We start from the raw sequence: 24,689 nt of genomic DNA on the forward strand, positions 1-24,689 counted from the left end.
TCCACTGGTTAGAGAAAAATGGAAATCAGAGTGGGCAGGTTTTCTTGGCAAGTCCCAAAATAAAAGGTAATAGGAAGCTCCTGTTCTCTAATTCTTTCTGAAACCATGAAGAAGCACGGTGCAAGGGAAAGCTTTGATAGAAGGCTTAAAGGGCTTCTTATTTCACCCAACCCATTTTCCTGGTCCTGCTGTCCACCAGGCTTGGCAAACCACACATTTGTATGTGTACCTGGGTTGATCTGTCATGGGAAATGTATTTTGGCTCTTATTCAAATCACTTTGATGCCTAGAAAGAGATATTACTTGTTATAAAGCCATGCCAAGATTGTTTCCAGCCTAAACACTTCTTTTTCTAAACCCAGGAGCTCGTGTGTGTCTTTAGCTTAAAAGTGACAAAGATGAAAGAAATACAGGTCTGATCAAATCTAAAATTATATAGACATGATTTCTCAGACACGTTTTTTAAGGTTAAGTAAATCCAACTTTCCAAATGCCCTAGGCTGCGTTGATCTCCAAGTATCTCTGGGGAAAGTGTGATGTCTATTAATAAATTTTTCTGCTTCCTTAGCTCAGGGTTTAGGAGTACACAAACTTACCCCCTCTGGAAGCATGTTACAAGATGGGACTTTCCTGGCTTCAACTTCTTCTGCAATGGGTAAGGAGTCTAGGAATGTGGGGATACTAACTATGATACTATGACATACCTGCCACAAATAAGTTTCCTATAATAATGTAATTAGGAAGATTGTGACTGTTTAACTTAGAGAATTTTCTAAAATGGGATTTAAGAAAAGATAGATAAAGGAAAAATGAGTGCACAAAATAAATGTGGGCTTCCAAATGATTTTAGTGACTTTTTTGAGGGAAACTTGGTGACTACGTAAGGCCAAATTGAAAAGCCCAGTATGGATTTTTAGAACTGGTTAAGAGATAGAAACTAAGAAGCAGAAATCAATGGTCATTTCTCAGCTTCAGACAAAGTTAATAGTTACTGCCTTAAGAATCTGATTATAGTTAATCCTCTAGTGCTAATTTTCTTCAATATATTTATTAACAACCTGGAAGTGTAAAATGTGCTGATAAAAAATAATTACGCAGCCTGTCAAGGCTCAGAGAAATTGTGAGCAGGGAAGAAATAAGTCACAAAGATAGCCAAGGAAAGAAATTCAGCTTAGCTAAGGGAAAGTGATGCCCCACTGGAAATCATTTTCAATAATCTTCCCCAAATCCCTTAAAGTGAGTAAGAGATGTTAGGCAGATGCCATTGCATGTAGCAAAACACAGTCCCCCTTGATTTGAAGGACCAAGTTTAGTTTTAGCCAAGTTATTTTACACAAGACACAGCAGAATTCAGAATTAGCCTAAAAAAGATGACCCAGGTAAGAAGAACAACTACCAAAAAAGCTTGGATATGCTGTTCTGGAGAGAGTTGTTAACACGTAATAAGTTCAACAATCTATACATGGTGATATGGTTTAGCTCTGTGTCCCCACCCCAATCTCATCTTGAATTGTAGTAATCCCCATGTGTTGTAGAAGGGACCTGGAGGGAGGTGACCAAATCATGGGGGTGGATGTTTCCCATGCTGTTCTCATGATAGTGAATATGTCTCATGAGATCTGATGGTTTTATAAAGAGGAGTTTCCCTGCACATGCTCTCTGTTGCCTGCCACCATGTAAGACATGAATTTGCTCCTCATTCACCTTCTGCCATGGTTGCAAGGCCTCTTCAGCCATGTGGAACTGTGAGTCCTTTAAACTTCTTTCCTTTATAAGTTACCCAATCTCAGGTATGTCTTTATTAGCAGTGTGAGAACAGACTAATACAATGGACTCCAAAGAACTGGAGTGAATAATTATTATAGAGATAATTGCTGCACCTTAGCTATACCTTGAATGACTTACCATGAGTATGGCTATTATGAAATACTATCTCTGTAAACTCTAACCCTAAAAATAGGGCAATGATGTCAAAGTTAACAACTGGTAGAAGACTCATCGATGAATAACTAGTCTTGAACAGAAGGGGGAAAGAGTTGAAAGCTAGCCAGTGCGGCCTTTCCCCTGTATTCTCATCTTATTCTTACCCTGCTTAGGCACTTGTGGGGCTTCACAGGACCTCTCAGAAAGGACCATGTTCAGGAACACTGTTTTCCTACCAGCCAAATATTTTTTAATTAATTTAAGATTGAGTGTCTGACCCTCTGACTTTCCAATAACAGGGTTGAGCTGTGTTTTGCTTGTTTGTTTGTTTTTAGAAAATAGAAAAACAGAGAAACTACACATGTATAAGGAGACCTACTCACTTCACAGGACATCTGTAGTAAAAAGACCATCGGAATACAATTACTTAAACTAGTGAATTTTTTTCAAATTCAGGTACAGAAATTAGGGTGAAACAATTGGCTGCTTGTGAAAATACACACAGCATTTTCCTGTAAGTTAGACCCAAAGACAACATATATTACTGATGGAAATATCAAAATAACACCTAAAGAAGTACACTAACCAGAACGATACCTTTTGATTTTTCAAATATTCCACATTCTCCATAATAATGTATTTCTTTGTTTTTATTTCAAAAAAACTTTATACTAGGGAAAACTATTTTAAACTAAAATGATTTACTTTCTAAAAGCATTTGATTAAGTCTACAAACACTTAACGTGAATAGAATTTTAATTATAAAAACTAGCCAGCAATTTCCTATGATATTAAAAAATATGCTCCTCGGCATTTGCTTTCAAGTCACACCACACAAAGCCAATCTCTTGCTAATGCTTTAATGCACCTTCCACTTGTTCTATTACCAGCCACTGAAACCACTGGGATGTGTGGGAGGAACTGGGGAGGAACTTCACATGCACAAACTTTTGGAAAATTAGACTCAAAAGTTGACTCATGAACAAGTATTTACTGAATAACATTTGTCTGGTACTTTACCAGCCAATGGCTAAGGATGAGAAATACCTAACTCTAGACACAGCAAAGGGATCATGTGGAGAAGTGGTTGGTGATCTGAAATGAAAAAGAAGGTGGAGTAGTTACCAGAAATAGCAGCATAATCATAACCACAGCAGGAATTGAGTTATTATAGGTGCAAAAATGGAGGCTCAGAGGTGCCAAGTAATTTGTCCAAGGTTGGCGGGAGGGTCACACACAAAAATGTGACAGATTCAGGATTCAAAACACCCAAAATTAGTGTTTATACATAACTAGTTAGAATTTTCCATGCCATGTGAGACTGAAGCATCCTTTATGAGAATCCTGCTTCAAGACATGAAGACAGTGCCTAGCTATTTCTTGGGCTGCAAAGAAAGGATTGGATGGTTGAACAACTATCTATCGCTTAATGACCATCCACTATGAGTGTAGCACTATATATATATTATTTTATTTTATTATTATTATACTTTAAGTTTTAGGGTACATGTGCACAATGTGCAGGTTAGTTACATATGAATACATGTGCCATGCTGGTGTGCTGCACCCATTAACTCGTCATTTAGCATTAGGTATATCTCCTAAAGCTATCCCTCCCCCCTCCCCCAACCCCACAACAGTCCCCAGAGTGTGATGTTCCCCTTCCTGTGTCCATGTGTTCTCATTGTTCAATTCCCACCTATGAGTGAGAATATGCGGTGTTTGGTTTTTTGTTCTTGCGATAGTTTACTGAGAATGATGATTTCCAATTTCATCCATGTCCCTACAAAGGACAGGAGCTCATCATTTTTTATGGCTGCATAGTATTCCATGGTGTATATGTGCCACATTTTCTTAATCCAGTCTATCATTGTTGGACATTTGGGTTGGTTCCAAGTCTTTGCTATTGTGAATAGTGCCGCAGTAAACATACATGTGCATGTGTCTTTATAGCAGCATGATTTATAGTCCTTTGGGTATATACCCAGTAATGGGATGGCTGGGTCAAATGGTATTTCTACTTCTAGATCCCTGAGGAATTGCCACACTGATTTCCACAAGGGTTGAACTAGTTTACAGTCCCACCAACAGTGTAAAAGTGTTCCTATTTCTCCACATCCTCTCCAGCACCTGTTGTTTCCTGACTTTTTAATGATTGCCATTCTAACTGGTGTGAGATGGTATCTCATTTTGGTTTTGATTTGCATTTCTCTGATGGCCAGTGATGGTGAGCATTTTTTCATGTGTTTTTTGGCTGCATAAATGTCTTCTTTTGAGAAGTGTCTGTTCATGTCCTTTGCCCACTTTTTGATGGGGTTGTTTGTTTTTTTCTTGTAAATTTGTTTGAGTTCATTGTAGATTCTGGATATTAGCCCTTTGTCAGATGAGTAGGTTGCGAAAATTTTCTCCCACTTTGTAGGTTGCCTGTTCACTCTGATGGTAGTTTCTTTTGCTGTGCAGAAGCTCTTTAGTTTAATTAGATCCCATTTGTCAATTTTGGCTTTTGTTGCCATTGCTTTTTGTGTTTTAGACATGAAGTCCTTGCCCATGCCTATGTCCTGAATGGTAATGCCTAGGTTTTCTTCTAGGGTTTTTATGGTTTTAGGTCTAACGTTTAAGTCTTTAATCCATCTTGAATTAATTGTTGTATAAGGTATAAGGAAGGGATCCAGTTTCAGCTTTCTACATATGGCTAGCCAGTTTTCCCAGCACCATTTATTAAATAGCGAATCCTTTCCCCATTGCTTGTTTTTCTCAGGTTTGTCAAAGATCAGATAGTTGTAGATATGCGGCATTATTTCTGAGGGCGCTGTTCTGTTCCATTGATCTATATCTCTGTTTTGGTACCAGTACCATGCTGTTTTGGTTACTGTAGCCTTGTAGTATAGTTTGAAGTCAGGTAGCGTGATGCCTCCAGCTTTGTTCTTTTGGCTTAGGATTGACTTGGCAATGCGGGCTCTTTTTTGGTTCCATATGAACTTTAAAGTAGTTTTTTCCAATTCTGTGAAGAAAGTCATTGGTAGCTTGATGGGGATGGCATTGAATCTGTAAATTACCTTGGGCAGTATGGCTGTTTTCACGATATTGATTCTTCCTACCCTTGAGCATGGAATGTCCTTCCATTTGTTTGTATCCTCTTTTATTTCATTGAGCAGTGGTTTGTAGTTCTCCTTGAAGAGGTCCTTCACATCCCTTGTAAGTTGGATTCCTAGGTATTTTATTCTCTTTGAAGCAATTGTGAATGGGAGTTCACTCATGATTTGGCTCTCTGTTTGTCTGTTGTTGGTGTATAAGAATGCTTGTGATTTTTGTACATTGATTTTGTATCCTGAGACTTTGCTGAAGTTGCTTATCAGCTTAAGGAGATTATGGGCTGAGACGATGGGGTTTTCTAGATAAACAATCATGTCGTCTGCAAACAGGGACAATTTGACTTCCTCTTTTCCTAATTGAATACCCTTTATTTCCTTCTCCTACCTAATTGCCCTGGCCAGAACTTCCAACACTATGTTGAATAGGAGTGGTGAGAGAGGGCATCCCTGTCTTGTGCCAGTTTTCAAAGGGAATGCTTCCAGTTTTTGCCCATTCAGTATGATATTGGCTGTGGGTTTGTCATAGATAGCTCTAATTATTTTGAGATACGTCCCATCAATACCTAATTTATTGAGAGTTTTTAGCATGAAGGGTTGTTGAATTTTGTCAAAGGCCTTTTCTGCTTCTGAAACTATTCCAATCAATAGAAAAAGAGGGAAACCTCCCTAACTCATTTTATGAGGCCAGCATCATCCTGATACCAAAGCCGGGCAGAGACACAACCAAAATAGAGAATTTTAGACCAATATCCTTGATGAACATTGATGCAAAAATCCTCAATAAAATACTGGCAAACTGAATCCAGCAGCACATCAAAAAGCTTATCCACCATGATCAAGTGGGCTTCATCCCGATCAAGTGGGCTTCATCCCTGGGATGCAAGGCTGGTTCAATATATGCAAATCAATAAATGTAATCCAGCATATAAACAGAACCAAAGAAAAAAAACCACATGAGTGTAGCACTATATTAAGTCCTGGGCAGAACCAGAGCAAATCCAAGAGAAGAGAATTGATCATCAAGTACACTGCATACTTAAGAGTTTTCATTACTAAATATTGGTTGAATTAATGCAGACAAATACATGAATGCCCTGATAAATATTGTGACCCTTAGACCCTAAGTTTTCTAGAATATGTCTATATGGTGGAATCATTATTGCCATTTTTGAAGAAGCAGTTTCCAAAGTACTTCCTGGAGGATCTCTCTCTCTCCCTTTTCTCTCTCTCTCTCTCTCTCTTTCTCTTTCACACACAAACACACACACACACACACACACACACACACACAGCAGCAGCAGCAAGGTGCTCATCTATTCCCTTAGACACAAGTCCTGCCCTAGACTTGGCAAATTGCCTTTTCTGCCCAACCCACAGTATTGAGAATCTGAAGTGAAGTGGAAAATAAGAGCTGAAATAGAGCCATATTTGGGCACAAACCTTGAGAGATGAAAAGAAGGAAGGAAGTAGAGGATGTGCAAGCAGAATTAGAGAGTGTTAAATACGAAGTGTTCTCAGACAGAGGGAGAACAGCAAGCAAGCTGCAACCTGTCGGCCCAAGGGAACAAATTCCAGGTGTTCAGCGCTTCTCATTCCCCGCAACCCCACATCCCTTCATCTTTCTGTCCTTCTGCTAGGCTAATAAGACCAAGGAGACACCCTCACGTCTTCCCAGTGTGTTTGGGTGGGATTATTTCCCATGATGACAGACAGGCTTTGTGCTAATGCTCCAGCACTGTCATGAGGAAAGATAGGGGACACTCAAACTTATTCCCTGCCACTTTCAAGCCCTGGCTGCAATCATTTTTTCCTACAAAATAACCTCAACTGAGAGAGAGCAAGAGAAGGATACCTCCTTAATCAGGACAAGAAAGATGCTCTAGAGGTAAATGGGAAGTGTTCAAGATTATTGGGGAAAATGTGTACATCCTGGGAAGACATTCCACTGTCAAATGCTGGCCAGGAAGGAGAGGAATAAAAAGACATGGGAAGAGAGAAGGGAACGTAGGCTTTCCTTCTGGTGGCTCTCTGTGAGGTGGAAGTTAGACTGCCTCCACGAAACAGAAGAGTCGGCAGGAAAGGCTTCTTAGAATTCTGCCGCCCAGCGCTGACAGCCCTCGGCATATTTTCAGCACGAGGTACATTAACAAATAAGGAAAAGCATCCTCCTGGGCCTCTAATAACATTTACTTCATTCATCATTTCCTCAGAGGAATAGTAGGCTGTGTATTTTTTTATTCCCGGTGTGTCCTGCCTAAGAAATAAATACTAGCCAAGATCACCTGCTTACTTCTGTGTATTTTACAACCCTCCTTAAGCTTTGTTTGTCTTTCCCCAGTTCCTATTCTTCTTTCTATGCACTCCATACTATGTAGGTCTAAATAAAAGGGGCACAAATTCTAAGACCCCGAGCTGGAATCACTGACTCTGCAGTGTCAAGACGTCTCAAATCTTTTATGGAAGGAGGCAGAGTAAGAATCCAGAATAAATAAATTGAATGGGCTATGCAGTGTAGACTGAAACTAGGATAAATAAGCAAAAATGAGAGTGGTTCCCAGGCCTCCAGGGATCCTGTCAGCCCTAGACATGTGCCAGGTGTTCTGGACTCTTCTATTGGCCTGAGTTAGCTTGAACCTCAATATGGGCTCCCGTCCTGGGCTGCACAGAACACCTGGCAACTCAAGCTTTATTCTCGGCCCTATGGTGAGGACTATCCTCCCAAGGCCCAGGTCTGCTGATTAACAAAGTAGCTCCAAGTTCTGAGTTCCCTCTTCTCCATTTGTCCATCAGCCTCATTGGTGTTATAATCCCAGCAAACTCCAACAGGATCTATGCTGGGAAAAATAATTTTAAAGTTGATCTTTCCATGCAACTTCAAGGGTCTTTTTGCCACAACTCTCAGCCCCTATGATACTTTAAGCTCCCACCACGCACTCGGCCAGAGGGGCAGTGGGAAGCCCCCACTGACCCCAAAGGACAGACCTCACCCAGCTCTATCTGATGCTTCCTCAAGAGAAATGGAAAAACTAGGTGGAGCACACGCTCTGGGCTGCAAAGCCTGAAGCTGCAGTAATGACATAGAAAAAATGATTATGAAATAAAATGTTAAATGGAAAACAGAGTATGGAACTGTGCCTACATTACAGCTATAACTACATAAAATGTATTTATTTAGTAAGAGAACATAGAACATGAAAAACACAAAAATGGCCATTTATTGCGATGGTGAGTCACGGGCAAAGTTTTACTTTCATTTCAATTTTCATTAACATATTGCAATGTTATTTGTGCAACACAGAAAATAAATGAACCGTCTGATCCCACGAAGCTACGTACTACAGTTACTCCTGTTGTGAGCTGAACTTGCAGTTCAGTTTCCTCAAACCTACACCTATACTGACCTACTGTAAATGTAACTAACTCACCACCCCACCAATCCTGCAACTTTAACTACTGAAATAACTGACTTCAAACCCCCTCATATTCATGCTGCTTCTTGCTGCCATAGTGTGGATATTGTCCCTCCAAACCTCATGATGAAGTCTGATCACCAGTGTTGGAGATGGGCCTCATGGGAGGTGTTTGGGTCATGGGGGGTGGATCCCTCATGAATGGCTTGGTGCCATCATCCTTGTGGTAATGGCTGAGTTCTAACTCTTAGTTCCCATGGGAGCTGGTTGTTAAAAACAGCCTGACACCTCTGATTCCCTCTTGCCTCCTCTCTTACCATGTCCTCTCTGCACATGCCAGCTCCTGTTCACTGCCACTCCTGCCACGAGTGGAAGCAGCCTGAGGTCCTCATCAGAAGCAGATGCTAGTGTCGTATGTCTTGTGCATCCTGCAGAACCATGAGCCAAATAAACCTCTTTTCTTTATAAATTACACAGCCTCAGGTGTTCCTTTATAGCAACACACAACAGATCAAGACACTTGCCTTATCCCAACATTTATACCAGAACAGAGGCATTTGTCCTCTGCTGCCTTTTCAACCCACCAAGGGTTGAAATGCCAAGGCTTTCGTGAGTGAGTGTGCAGATATCAAGCCATATCTGCATCATTTATTAATGACCAGACTTACTTAACATCATGTTAATTTCTATACAGACCATTTTAAATCAGTTCAAGAAATGCTTGAATATGTTGCCATGTTCTCAGAATGGTACCAGTACCACCAGGGACCTGAAAGAACTAAAAGGAGAAAGATTTCTGTCTTTGGCCATATCCATCAAGTAAGGGAGAGCTCATAGTTGAATGTGGGGGACAGTGGCAGGGTTGCTGGTCTTAGAAGACTGGGAAGAGGTGAGCTGTGCTGTTGCAAGGTGCACTATTTCCCCCATGATGTCTGTGGAAGCTGAATCACTTTTGTAACTTAAGAACCATGCTCTTTATGGCATCACTTTTAAGAAGGACTACAGAACAATGCTGTAAATCATTCACTGGGACACACTGTATGGTAAGAAAGGAGAGAGAGGGAGGAAAGTAGACGGCAGAATAATATTTATGAAAGGATTAAAAAAATAAGTAAACCGGAAAGTGAGTAATTAGGTTGAGAAAGAATTTGTATAAAGACAGCTCCAGAAAGATTTACAGCAGTAATCCCTAATTTTTTTCACCACCGAGGGCCACCTTTACTACTTTTCTCAGTAGGATGCACATCTTCACAAATTTTTGTCTACTAATCACAAAACATCTATTGCGTACTGATTAATTTGTTTCATCATTTGGGTTCACTGACAACATCCAGAATTGCCAATCAGAGCTTTTAATCATTACAAACTAACTTATGTTAACACAACTGATGTAAAATGATTTTCTCCCCCCAAAACGATGACTTTGCATTTAGTCATCCCAGCCTCACTGCAGATTCCCACTAAGCTTTTTGAAATACTGAAAATAGCTCAAGAGTCAATTATGATCAGAGTATTGAAAGGTATAGGGACCCTGGGGTTGAAATTCTCAAGGTCTGCCGTAGCCAAGAAGACCAGGGACCCGCAAAAGCAGACTCAGGTTGGAAGGCACTGGGCTTGCATGTGGTAAGTTTGCTCAGAGGAAGAGGATTATGAGTCCTATGGAAAGACTCACAGGCATTAGTGGGCATCAGCAAATGGCTAGGAGGCCCAGGAAGTCCAGTGAGAGGCAGATGGCACCTCTACGTGGATGAGTTTTATTTCTTAGTACCTCCTCACATCTATCTTTCGTTATCTTTCCTGGTGTTACCTTCGCTAATCACATTAAGAAGTTGTTGGTCTCTGTTTTTTCCTTTTTTTTTTTTTTTTGAGATGGAGTTTTGCTCTTGTTGCCTAGGCTGGAGTGCAATGGTGCAATCTCAGCTCGCTGCAACCTCCACTTCCCAGGTTCAAGCAATTCTCCTGCCTCAGCCTCCCAGGTAGCTAGAATTACAGGTGCCTGCCTTGGCCTTGCAAAATGGTAGGATTACAGGTTTGAGCCACTACGCCCACCTGTTGGTCTCTTTTTAATGAAACAGTGACTTAGTATTCTTGTAGAGAATTGACATATGTAAGCCTGCCATTATTGCTTTCAAATTTAGATCCCTCTGTTCCTGCTCTGGGCTCGACTGTAACCTGTATACTAGAAAAGGAAAAAAGAAAGACATTTGTATATGTCTTATTTCAACTCCCAGTAGCCTCACAAACTGGACTGTGGACTAACAGAAGTACAGAACTGGAAAGGGAAGAACTCTGTGCCCTGCAGGAGCCCACTGTTGGCCCGGAGTGTGTGTGACAGCAGGGTGGAAGAGGAGTGGTTCCAGCAGAGAACAGGGAACAGGGAGGTACGACTGGGAAGGACAGACCTTCTGTAGGCAAAGCCCATGCATAAAGAAGCTTTTAGGAATGAATTAGGTTTGATCTACAATGAAATAACTACTACAGGAGCCATGTCCCAAGGAGTAGTCTATAACCAGTAAAGGAGAAGCCCTATAGTAAAAGACTAACGTTCTTTCACTTTGTTTAACCCAGAAATTCCCAAGGTAATTTAACCACAGAAATCTTCTATGCGATATGTAGTAACACTCCCTCACATCCCATTAAGTCAATGGAAACAGTGAGCAGAGGGTTTAGAATGTGGAAAATCCTCATGTTGACTAAATGGTCATTGGAATGCTGTGACCAGAGATACTGACTTAGCAACTCAGAAGATTCAGAGGATGAGACATAGACACTCAATAAGACAGTGTAGAAAAAGAGAATTCAGATGAGACGAGGAACTTAAATTCTTGTTGCTATTTGGGTACCCTCAAAAAACAAAAACAAAGAGAGAAAGAAAAGTGAAAAATGGAGAGGAAACTGTCAGAGAATGTGCATGAGTTTATTGTGACTGCTATAACAAAGGACCACAAACCGGCGGTCTTAACACAACAGAAGCTTATTCTCTCAGAGTCCTGAAGGCCAGAAGCCCAAAGTCAGTATCACTGGACTGCAATAAAGGTGTCAGCAGGGTCATATTCTGTCTGGAGGCTCTAGGGGAGAATCCTCATGCCTCCTTCAGTTCCTGGTGGCTGCTGGCTTGGGTGGTGGCTGCATCACTCTTCTCTTCAAGACCAGCATCTTCAAAGCTCTCTCTGCTCTGTCTTTGCATGACCTATCCTATGGGTGTGTTGTCAAATCCCTCTCTGCCTGTCTCTCTTTAGCTCTCTTAAAGACACTTGTGAATGCATTTAGGGCCCACCAGGAAAATCCAGGAAACACTCTCCATCTTAGGACCATTAAATTAATCACACCTGCAAAGATATACCCCTCCTCTTGAAGAATTAGGACATGAATATCTTTGCAGGCCATATTTTAGCCTACCATAGAGGGCAATTAAAATGATTTGGAAATAAAGGAAGAAGAAGCTTTTAAGAAGAGAGTGTGCTATTGTGAATAGTGCTGTAATGAACATATGCGTATGTGTATCTTTATAACAGAATGATTTACATTCCTTTGGCTATATACCCAGAAATGGGATGGCTGGGTCAAATGGTATTTCTGGTTCTAAAACTTTGAGGAATTGCTACACTGTCTTCCACAATGGTTGAACTAATTTAAATTCCCACCAACAGGGTAAAAGCATTCCTATTTCTCTGCAACCTCAGCAGCATCTGTTGTCTCTTGACTTTTTAATAATCGCAATTCTGACTGGCATGAGATGGTATCTCATTGTGGTTTTGATTTGCATTTCTCTAATGATCAGTGATGTTGAGCTTTTCAGTGGGGGGGAACATTAGGGAAAAGAGCTAATGCATGCTGGGCTTAATATCTAGGTGATGGGTTGATAGGTACAGCAAACCACCATGGTACACTTTTACCTGTGTAAGAAACCTGCACATCCGCACATCCGGCACACGTGCCCTGGAACTTAAAAAAAAAAAAAAAAACAAGAAAGTAATTATTTTTTTAAAAAAGAAGAAAGTGTGGTCAAGGTCATCATGCTGCAAAGATAATAAGAAAGGGAAGAATTTAAAGAGCAGCTCATATCGAGCAGTTAGAAGGCTGCTGATGGACATGGTCAGAGCATTCCAGTGCATTCCACTATGGGGGAAGCCCCACTTGAGAGTGTTGAGGAGAAATGGACCATGAGGAAGTATAAATAGAAACAGAGAGTTTCATACATTTTTAAAAGCTACATAAAAACATAGTTACATTTATGAAGTATAATTTGGTGATGGATTGCAATCACTACATTATAAAGATAAATTTGAAAAGAAAATGAACTTCGGAGTTAGTTTTGTGCTTCTTCTTCACTTGCGAACATCTCTGAATAATATTTTCCCAATGCTTACTGCCCTCAGGTTTTCATGTCTCCTCTAATTAGTGCTCTATTTTTCCTGCTCACAGTTCCCTGCCTTCTTCCTTTCTTTCTCTTACATCCTGTTCTCTGTTCTCCCACTAGACCTGGCCTTCATCCATTTCTCAGTAAGGAAACCTGAGTGTCCAGCCCTTATCTAAGCACAGTTGATAAAGAGTCATGGATATAACAGAAAGAAGAGGATTTCCAAGAGCAAGAAATATTTTATTATATATTTGTTAGAAGGGCTAAAATCAATGATAAATAGGAAGGGAAATAAGGAAGAAAATAGGGTTTAAAACATTTGGCACCAACCACAGATAGACATACATAATCAAGTATGTAGAAACATGGAAGAATTAGCCAAAAATAATATGGACAATAAGCAAAATAAGATTTGTACAAATCTTCTAAAGAATTCATGTCTTTGTTACTGTTTTTTCCCATTTGACTTATATATTTATTCCCAGAATAAAATGAAAACACAGTGGCATAGTGGGGCTCAATTTATCTCATCTCATAAATACCTTATGATATCTAAGAGGTTAAGGGCTTTGGAATCCCAAATCTTTTGGGACAGAGGACAGGAGAGTTTATAAGAAAATTAGAAGTCCTGTGTCTTTAAATGTTTATAAGCAGCTTTATTCATAATAGCCCAAATTAGGAACCACCCTAATGTCCATCAACTGACTAATGGATCAACAAATTATGGTGCATCCATATAATTGAAAAATACTTAGCAGTAAAGAGGAATGAACTGCTGATACACACAACAGAATCAATGGATCTCCAAAACATTATGCTGAGTGAGGGAAGGCAGACTCAAATGCACACATTCGTATGATTTCATTTACAGAATGGATAAGAAAGATAAATGTAACCTATGCTGAAAGGAAATACATCTGTGGTTGCCTGTGGCCAGGGGCATCAGGGGTAGTAACAAGAAAGAGCACAGGGAACATTTTGAGAATGATGAAAATGTTCTATAGCTTGATGCTGGGGTGGCTACGTTTGTATAAATTTGTCCAAGCACACCAGAAGGTACATTTAAAATGGGTGCCTTTTATTATATGCAAATTATACCCCAATGAAATTGATTTTTTAAAGTGTGTGTTATCTTTTTGAGGGGGTACTAATATTCATTCCTTAGAATAATATTCATGTTTTTTTCTCTCTGCTTTGGAAAAGATGAAGTAGGTTGGCTACCCTGAGACTAACTGGAGTGAGGGAGCAAATATTCTATCCCCAGGGACCTGGGAAAGGCAGCACAGTCAGCATAGCACACTTCATTCGTCCACATCCTCCATTCTCTGGGGATAAGAGAGCTTTGTTAACTGAGAAGTCAGTGTATCCAAAAATCACCCACAAAGAGGCAATAAATAGATGCAAAAACACAAAACATCCACAAAATATGGAAAGGGCAAATTCACAAATTTCTACTTTCATAGAAAGAACAACAGTGATCACTCATGCCAATAATGGTAACAATGCTATCAAGCAGTCCCATCCGAAGTCCTCATGCCAATCATCTGTTCTGGCATTGCAGTGATCTATATAACTGAAAAACCCTGTTGCTACACAGCACTGAGAAATACTGAATCAAATATAGTAAACATTCCTTTCATGCAAAGCTGAATTTGTAAGACACTCAGAAAAATTATCAGGGGCAAATAAGAAACGAAAAGCCAAGCAAGGACAGAAAATGAGGATTTGTGTTTGCAGAAGGTGGGAAGTGTAACTAGAGCTACCTGCATTAATCCAGACCCCTAAATGCCCAAATGGATGAGACGGTCAGGGGAAGAGGGCATGCCTGTTGTCACAGGTTCTTCTCCCTGGAAATAAGACTATGAGGCAGAGCTTAGCATGCAGGACAGTTTACTAGTGGTGCTCTTAGGATTGATGCCTGTGTGGGGAAGAATGGGAGCAGGATTGGGCAGGAGAAGCAGAACTGCCACATACCCATGGCAAGGCCTTGTCCAGCCCCACAGGGAGTTCTGAAGCTGGACAGTACTTCAGAGTTGTCCTCAGGTGGGGTCCAGGGAGCCCAGCTTTTGTACCATTGAATGCAGGCTGCTCCTAAGAAACAGGCCTGACCTTTAGCTAAGGAAAATCCCCAGGCTTCAGCTGTCAGCGGGTAGAACTCCCAGTAACTGGGAAAATAAGTCCTTCAGGCCTGAAAGGCAGTGTATAAGTGAAGAAATGTGAGTAATCTCTGTGGTTTCTATCAGTGCCAATTTCCTGGGATTGTGGAGCACATTCTGGCATATCTTACAGTGTTTTAGTTTGTCTCTCTCAGCCTGAGTAGACCAAAAATAAAAAATAAATTCCTAGAACTATTAACAAAAATGTCTGCCCTCACATGGGTTTCAGGTTTTAATTCACACTATTTAATTGGTCTGTGAACTCCCAAGCAAATGAATCACTTTAAAGCATTTTCAGACTAGTAATACCCTGGGGTATCTGGCTTAAGTAAACAAAAATCTCTCTGGAAGAGTACATATTCAACCCAGGAAGCAAAAGAGTTCCATAGACAGGGCCCCAAAAAGCATGAGCTTGCAATACAAAATAAAGACATGGAAAAGTAATCTGCCATAAGCAAAAATAACAAGTAGAAAAATTAAAGGAGGCAGAGGCGGGAGAATCGCTTGAACGCGGGAGGCGGAGGTTGCCATGAGCCAAGATCAAGCCACTGCACTTCAGCCTGGGTGGCAGAGTGAGACGCCATCTCAAAAAAAAAAAAAAGAATTCAACACCAAAGAAACCCATGTAATCAACTTTTAAAAAATAGATCATAAAAGGCATATCTGTTGCTTAAGGCATTAAGAATTATTTATAAAATTAAAATGAAAAAAGCAACAGAAACCATTAAAGAGATCAACATATATGAAAAAACTGTTTATATATTATTGAAAAATTTGAAATTTCTTTCTCTTTAGAGAATACCTATTTTATTATCTATTTTAAAAAATTGTATCTAAACCAGATACAGAGAAAGAGAACTCTGGAAACCAGACAATAGAACTAAGAAAGAAAGCACCCAGAATAAAGAGATGAAAAAATTTAAAGAGGGGTTAAAGACTTGGGACATCAAATGAGAAAACTCAAACTTTATTAATTAGGAGACAAGAGAAGAATTGGGCAGAGGAAAAGTTGCAAGTGATAATGACTAAGGATTTTCTAGGAATGATGAAATATATGAATCCTGTGATTCACAGAAGTAAAAGATTCAACACAGGAAAAGTGTGCCTACACATCACCAAAACAAAAAGATCTTAAAAGCAAGCAGAAGAAAAAAGAACCTATCTAAAACAGAAAAATAATGAAAAGAAGGGTAACCAACTTTTCAACAGCAACAATGAAGGTAGAATGCAGCAGTGAACTTCTATTTTATTTTTTTTAAATTTATAAACAGCTAAACTACGTTTTAAAAATTTGAGGATGAATATGACCCACCAGTTGCACTTTTGGGCGTTTGTCCCAGAGAAACTTATGTCCACATAAAAATTTGTACATGAATGTTCATAGCCATTTGTAATAGCCAAAAACTGTTAACTACCCAAATGTTCTTCAATATGTGAATGGTTAAACAAACGATCATATATCCATGCCACGGAATACTACTCAGCAACAAAAAGAAGTGAGCTATGGATACATACAAAAACCTGAATCTCCACAGAAGAATGCTGAGTGAAAAAGCCAATCTCGAAAGGCTACAAACTGCATGACTTCATTTATATAACACTGTTGAAATAAAATTAGAGAGAGAACATGGAGATCTGGCTGCCAGGGGGGTTAGGGATGGAGGGGTAAGGAGTGGGTATCTTTAAAGGGTAGCATAAGGGAACCTGCGAAGATAGCACAGGTAAGTATCTTGACCTAGTGTAGTGTCATGGAGTTATCCATCTGACAATAATTGAAAGGGGATTGGAGGGGAGAGAGAAAGAGAGAGAGAAATTAGTGTGTATCTAGGGAGTGAAATCTGAATGAACTCTAGTTTGTATCAACACCAATTTCCTGGAATTGAAGCTGTACTATAACCGAAGAAGATATTCCATAGAGGGAGGCTGGGTGAAGGGTGCACAGGACCTCTCTGTGCTATCCTTGCAGCTTCCTGTAAATCTACAACTAAAACATAATAATAAAAATTATTATACTAATAATTTTAATAATAAAGTATATTAAAATAATAAAATAATAACAACATAGCATTAAAAACATAGCATAGAAGAAATCAAAGTAGAATTAAAGCATGTTTAGAACAGAAAAAAAATATTTATTTACTACTAGCAGATCGTCATTGATGATCTATTTCCAGAGAAAGGAAATATTGGATATATTTATATTGACTGGATATATTTCTTGAGAAAGGAGAATTATCTTAGAGGGAAAAAAGCAATTATGAACTAAAAAACTTGTATACATGTAAATGAGTTTAACAAGAATGGACTACTTCAAAGAATAACAATAATACTATCTAATTTTGAGTGTTATGATAATAAGGTAGAAATGAAGCACTATAGTAACATGTAAGATGGAAAAAGATTTATCCAAAATAAAGAATTTTAAGATTTATACAACAGCCTAGAGGAAACTAGAGATAATAATTGATGTTAGACTTTATTCGCTCAATTATTCACATTAACATTTAAGGGGTAAACGCTAGGAAAAAAACACGAACAAACCAAAAGAAGCCAGGAGAGGAGGGGGAAAGGAGGAGTTAAAGGAACAAAATAAGTTAGTAGAAATAAATCCAGTTATTCATGATCATACTAAATATAAATGGAATAAATTTCCCAGGTAAAGATTAGAGATCATCAGATTTGATAATTATAATAAATGCATACACAAAAAAAATAAACTCCAGTTACGTTCTCTTTATGGAAGTCCCAATGAAACATAAAGACACAGAAAGTTCGAAAGTAAAAGGAAAATGTTAACCAAAACAAAGTTAGTGGAGCCATATTTATATCAGACAATAAAAATCTTCAGGTAAATCATAATCAGTATTTTTGTATTAATGAAAAACTTGAAACAACCTAAATATTTATCATTAAAATTATAATAAATACAGGAATACTATGCAATCATTAAAATCATTGAACTAGAACAACATATATAAATGTAGAGATGTCCAAAACTTAATTGTGTAGGGGAAAAAGGCAAATTGCTATAAAATAAACTATGAAATTTTTAATATAAGGTTAAGAAACAAGTAACAAATTTTTCAGCCTGTTATATTGCCAGTGATATTTGCCTTCCTTTATATAGCTCCATGCCCATGGAAACTGCAAAATTCACTCATCCCTTCATCCAGGTCTCTATCAGGAGAGGGGGAAAAAAGTATTTGAATAGTGAAAGGCTGGGCCAACTGGACTCAATAGAAGGTAAAATTAATCTCAGATGGCCAGGGTAGTGAGGGTTTCGTCGCCAAGGACTGCCAGTACAGCTTGGAAATAACGGTTCCTTCAAAGCAATTTCAACATTTCAGATTCTGCCTGAAAAGAACCAATCAGGAAAAAGTAATTATCTGTGGGGGGGAAAAAGGCAATGTTAAAGAAACAAAGTTACAAGCAACAAGCTCAGCAAATAATCAAAAACATATATTCTATGGTCTGAATGTTTGTGTCCCCTGAAAATTCCTGTGTTAAAACTTAATCACCAATGTGATGGTATTAGGATATGGGGCCTTTAGGAGATAATTAGGTTTAGATGAGATCTTGAAGACAGAACCCCCATGAAGAGGATGAGTGCCTCCAGCAAACTCCCTCCCTGTGTTAGTCTGTTTTGTCTTGCTATAAAGAAATACCCAAGGCTGAGTGATTTATGAAGAAAAGAAGTTTATTTGGCTCATGGTTCTGCAGGCTGTACTGGAAACATAGTGCCAGCATCTGCTTCTGGTGAGGCCTCAGGGAGCTTACAATCGTGGCAGAAGGCAAAGGGGGAGCCGGCATATCAGATGGTGAGAAAAGGAGCAAGAGAGATGCAAGGGAGGCAGCAAACTCTTTTTAACAAATGGATCTCATGTGAACTCATGACCACAGGGAGGGCACCAAGCCATTCATAGAGGATCTGTCCCAGTGACCCAACACTTCCCAGTAGGTCCCAGCTCCAACATTTTGAGTCACATTTCAACATGAGATTTGGAGGGGACAAATATCCAAACCATATCACCCTCCCCCTCCACCATGTGAGGACACAGCTAGAAAACACCATCTATGAACCAGAAAGCAGGCCCTCCCCAAACACTGAATCTGCCAGCACCTTGATCTTGGACTTCCCAGCCCCTAGAACTGTAGGAAATAAATGCCTGCTGTTTATAAGCCACCCAGCGTATGGTATCTGTTACAGTAGCCCAAAAGGACTAAGACAAAAATGTTCAAGTTTCCAGTGAACTATTTCACTAGCATTGGCCCATCATACCACCTCCACAGATAAAATTACTATAGTTTATGAGGTAGTCTATGAATAAATAAATATACATATATGTATATATACTTTATGTGTATGTATATAAATATATACGTATTTATATATGTATGTTTATTAACATATATGTAAGTACACATATATGTAACTATACATGTGTAAATATACATATATACTTTATATATGTATATATACTTTATGTGTGTGTATCTATGTATAGAAAGTATAGATTAAAGATGTTTTTTTAAAAGTGAGGGAATGGGTACCAAATGCTGACTGTGATAGGTTTATGTCCTAGGTTACCCCTAAATGCTAAAGCATCTATCTCAGAGCCTGTTGTTCTTGTGCACTGTGACATTTCCCCAGCTGTGTTGGATCCAAACCTTCATACACAGCATAATCATTCACATGTCACTGAGAAATGCTTGAAATTGCAGCTACACAGAGACATGGCTAGTTTAAGGCAAATGGGAAAGCAAGACTGTAAATCTTCTGATTGTTACAAAAGAAAACAGAATTTTGGTTCCCAGGGCCAAGAGAAATTACTCTTCTCCATGCAGCACTCGTGCAGGGCAGCCAGGAGCTTCTCCCTGGGTCCCACGTGTCATCAGAAGTGATCTCGCAACAGAGGCTGACAGTGGCATTTGATAAGTGCACAGGGAACATCAGATCATCCAGGAAAATATCTTTGTCATGGGTAACTTCAGCCCATTCCACATTTGAATATGGCAACTCCATTCCATAATTAGAAGGACAGATTAGGATGGATGGTGTAGTTATGATGAATAATAACGTTATCAGTGCTAGTGGACTTTTTTTTTTTTTTTTTGGCTGTTACTATAATACATTTAGAAGCAAGAGGCTCTGCATGAGGTTTGGCCCCCATCCCTTCTGTCTAGTTGTTCTCTATCCTGTTTTAAAAATTACTCTGGAAGTACAGTCCTATAAAGAGTCTGTTTGGAGTGCAGGTTCTACAGGGAATTTCTTCTAATCCCAGTCTTGAGGAATTATTAAGAAATTGCTTTATTTAACTGATAGCCTGCTGGACACAGGAAGCACAAACTTGGCAAGAGCAAAACAGAATTTCTATTTTCTCCCTCTCCCATGAGTGGGCTGCTTCTGTACTCCTGCTTTGAGTTAATGCCCCTACCCCAACTCCGTTTCTCAAACTGGGGCCCTTGTTGCCATCTTGTCCCTGCCCCTAACCCCATCCCTTCAAGGCACAAATAGATCTGACACTTGCTTCTCCCACCCCATCCTTCCACCCAGGCTCCACTTCACTTCCTCATTTCTCTTCTGAAATATCACAAAACACCCCACAGTGTCTTCTCCCTTCTAGTGTCCTCTTAAATTTTAATTCCACATGACTAAGAGTAAACGATCTATAGGTAAAGTACGGCTATGCCACTTCCCTTGTGAAATCCTTCAGTAGTTTCCATGCCCATGGAATAAAGTCTAAACTCCTCAGATGGACATAAATGTCACTTTTTAACCTGGCCCTGCAAAATTTCTCCAGCTCTACTCCATGCCTTTCATTTTTTACTTCATCCAAACCCAATTGGTCACAATGTTACCAATGTAACTGGGTCTTTGTTCACACTAGACCCTCTCCTGGAATGCTCACTCACATTTCTTCCTCTCCTGACCTTCTCTTGACCTTCAAGACATGCCTCCCGGCCTCACGTCCTCCAGGAATGCTTCCATGACCACCTGGGCTGGTTAAAGGATTGATCTCTCCACCTCAAAGCATGTGGAGAGGATATGCATGGAGCACAGACATGGTTCTCCCTCAGCACACGCCTACTACAGGAAAATGATCTATTAAAATAATTTTCCATAGTATAAGTTCTTTTTTATCTCATTCCACACTGTGACTAGCATGATTAGGAAGCATGACAGGCTTTGAATATATTGAAGGTATACGTTTTGAATATATAAGTTTTGAATATATTGAAGATACACAATTTGAATATGTAGGTTTTGAATATATTGAAGATATACGCCTGGCACTCTTTCAGGCCTTTTCATGCGTGTTTTCTTATTTGCTTAAAATGTTAATTACCTGCTGATCAGGTTCTTCTATTCAATGTGTGGGAAGAACTAACAGGAATCGGGCATTTCCCACCGAAGGCAAAAATAGGTCCGCAGCATCCTCCCCCTGAACACAAGAAGCTCCCCAATGCCTCTCACATTTCAGTATTTCAAAGCAGGTTGAGGTGGAGAAGGGAAGAAAACAGTCGAAATGAAAATGGTTAAGTTAATTAATTGCAAGCTCGCTTGTAGGACCAGCACGTTTATTTAATCAGTTGCCTAGTAACCCTGCCTGTGTATGACGTGAATCTGATTAGCCTGCGGCGGCAGCAAATGATGGGCCATTTTTTTCTCCCAGCCACCAGTGCTCCCAGCCTGCTTCCGTGTGCTTTGAGGTTTGGAAAACCCAAATTCCGCCTCCTGCCCCCTAGCATGGAGGTTGTGAGGTGGAAACAAATTCTCATCCTCTTTTTTCTTGTCTTATCAGTCTCCACAGACCCCACAGCCAAGTGAAGAAGATCTTTGCATGAACACGACCTTTCAGCTGGTGAATCAGATGACCAGAAAAATTCCCCACATCAGTTTTCTTTATGGAGTGACCTACACACCAAGAAGAGCCGCTCAGCTCTCAAAACTGCTGTCATGTAGATACCTACGTGGATAAACAAGTAATGTTTCCACAAAACACTGCAGGTTAGGGCCTCTGCTCATGGCAGGATAGAGAAGGCAAAATAAAGAGGGGGCTTTGGACTGTTGGTTTTGCGTCATGTAAGCTTTTTTAGTGACCTTTAATGGGGAGAGAGACTAGATGCTGAGTTTAATCACGTAAGACCAGCTCAAGACAAACGGCACAGTTTTGTTTCCTGTCTGGAAAGAAAAAAAAAATTACTCATGCACTAGCAGGAACTGAACGCTGAACACTCCTTTGGTGCTAGATTTATTGGAGGATTTGACGACAAGAATTTGCTTGTAGTTTTCCACCTTCCCTGTGCTATTTTCTTAGCCAGTCATTTTGAATACTCCCCTTCCCCATCTTTATCCCCCAACCATTCCTGTTCTTAAGCCAAATAAAAAGAAAACATCACTGAAATAAAGACCCACGGTTCTGCTTTGACACACCATGACCACATTTTTATACTATTATGAGGTAGGGTATTTTTTTTTTTCTATTTGTCAGTCTCTGTGGATAAAAGACTCCATCTTCCATAAAGAATCCCCACCAGAAATCTTTCTAAGCCCTCAATCAGAGAGACACTCTGCCATCGTGCTGAGCAAAAGCTAATCTAATTAAGACAGGATCTGCTAAATTTAATAGCCTGCTATGAATTTTTACAGACATCTGGTAGCTGGAAGTTGGAACAGCTCTCACATATAAAATTCACATTGTCCAGATAACCAATATCGGGGTCAAATATTTTCTTTCTTTGGGGAACTTACATTGTTTTGGTAGGAACGCTATTTTCAAATCGTGATATCCTACAGGTAAATGCACTGGAAAGAAGATTGAGGATTGAAACTTCAAATCTCAGCTTTCCATCTGCACAGTAAAGACAAAGATGCTTCCATTGTCCGGTTTTATGGAGAAATCTGAAAACGTACACACAGGGCTGGCTTCACGGGTGGCGCCCAGCGTTAGCAAGTCCTTGCCTGGTGCGAGGCGCTGCTCTCCTGTCTTGAAATTCTTAATTTTTGAACAAGGACACCTGCATTTTTTATTTCCCACCAGAGCGCACAAATTATGTAGCCACTCCTGTGTATATGAAACTCTTTGCTTGATGCCAGTTCCATAGCAGACACAAAATAATTAGAATGTTCTCCTCCCCATCATACCCTTCAACTTAAAATTATGAAATCCAAGCTAGTAGCTTTTCTTTTGCTTCTGAGCAGGACAACCTCTTGACTGATGGTCTCATCTAAGAACCCCTACTACCACCTCCACCAACGATAGTCATATCTATTTGTATAAAATGAAATTACAGTAATCAAAAAAAGTTAAATTGTATATATGCCTATATGGTTGTATGTGCAAAAATTGCCAGTTATTACAAAAACTGATACTGATTATCTCTGAGGCAGAGAACTGATAACAGAAATTGGGCTCTGGAAAGGGACATATTTTTTACTTCATTTGTCCTTCTTTTTGTCTTGTTTTGTTTTACCGTATGTGTGTTCTGCCCTTGAAAAAATAAAACAAAACCTAATTTTGTTTGACTTAGATCCCAATAATCCTAACTACACAGATATATAAATATACATTCACTCTTAACTGTTCTTTGAAGAGGGAAATCTAAGTAAGGCATAGCTTCCTCAAAATCCAACCAATTGTCCCCAGTTCTAGAAGCATGAGTTACTTATTGAGGTTGGTGGAGATTTCCTCCATCCACCTTATGTTCCATGGTCCACCCCAGAGGGAAAGAGAAGAAAGGGGTGTCAGTGTTCTTTTGGTAGAAATATCACCCCACAAAATTTCCTGCACCTCAGAAAGCTTGTACACCCATGGGAAACTTTCCTGCCACCTGAAAACAAAGAGAAGCAGAGCAGCCCATTAAAAATGTATGTTCTCACAACATTTTGCCCTGGGACAGCGGAAAACCATAGCATCTAATAGGCTTTGAAGTGAAAAGTGCAATTCCTGTGAAATGAGATTTTTCCAAAGTATCTGATGAAGCAGCTCCTTGCCCCCCAACCACGACTGAAGCACAGCATGAATGACCTTGGGCAATGACAAACAATATCACACCCCCAGCAATCAGCCTGGATAATTACCATATTTAATAATTAAGCATGTGGTCTAAATTTGTGTTCAGCATTTCTGTTGAAATCTGGGGGGCATCCACGGGTGACTTGTGTATGAGGGTTAGGTTGACTAGCCCGCTCTCAAAATTCGAGTGAAATAAATCTTCCACTTCTTTTCATCCTAAGAGTTCCAGCCTCCCACAATAGAACCCAAGATAGCTACTAAGAACAGAAACAAGATTCCTCCAGTATTGTTTTATTCTATTGCTCTGGGGCAGCTAGGTATTTAAAACAAACAAGAAAACACATAAAAAAAGAGAGGGGCTACTCGCTCTGTTGTAGAAGAGTTACGCATTGTCTTTTTTTTTTTTTTTTTTTTTGAGTTATGTATTTTCTGACTCTTCTGTCTGAAATGTAGGATATTCAAATATAAGATATTCAGTTCTTTTACTACTCAATCTCTTGTTGCTTCTCTGCTGTGGTCTGTGGGGGACCAGACACAATCTGTGTACCCTAGAAAACACCTGTAGGAGGGGAAAGAAGACCTTGTCCAAGGATACACCAATGACAGTCAGTGGGTATTGGAAAATAAAGATACAAGTCAACCCTGGCTTCTCCCAGTCCTTCCCAGCTGTAGTCCCAGCACTTTTGCAATTCTGGTTTCCCAAAAAATCCCATCCAGGGCATAAACTATAT

The 24,689-nt window shown here is 39.6% G+C and overlaps 1 long non-coding RNA gene across 1 annotated transcript in view; it reads right to left on the reverse strand.

Moving 5' to 3' along the window:
* Positions 1-24,689, reverse strand: part of LOC101928923 (uncharacterized) — a 487,547-nt gene that overhangs the window by 198,206 nt on the left and 264,652 nt on the right. The gene's annotated exons all lie outside the window — the stretch shown is intronic.

Source organism: Homo sapiens, chromosome 6 (genome assembly GCF_000001405.40).
Source record: "Homo sapiens chromosome 6, GRCh38.p14 Primary Assembly".
In the NCBI taxonomy this organism is placed as follows: Eukaryota; Metazoa; Chordata; class Mammalia; order Primates; family Hominidae; genus Homo; species Homo sapiens.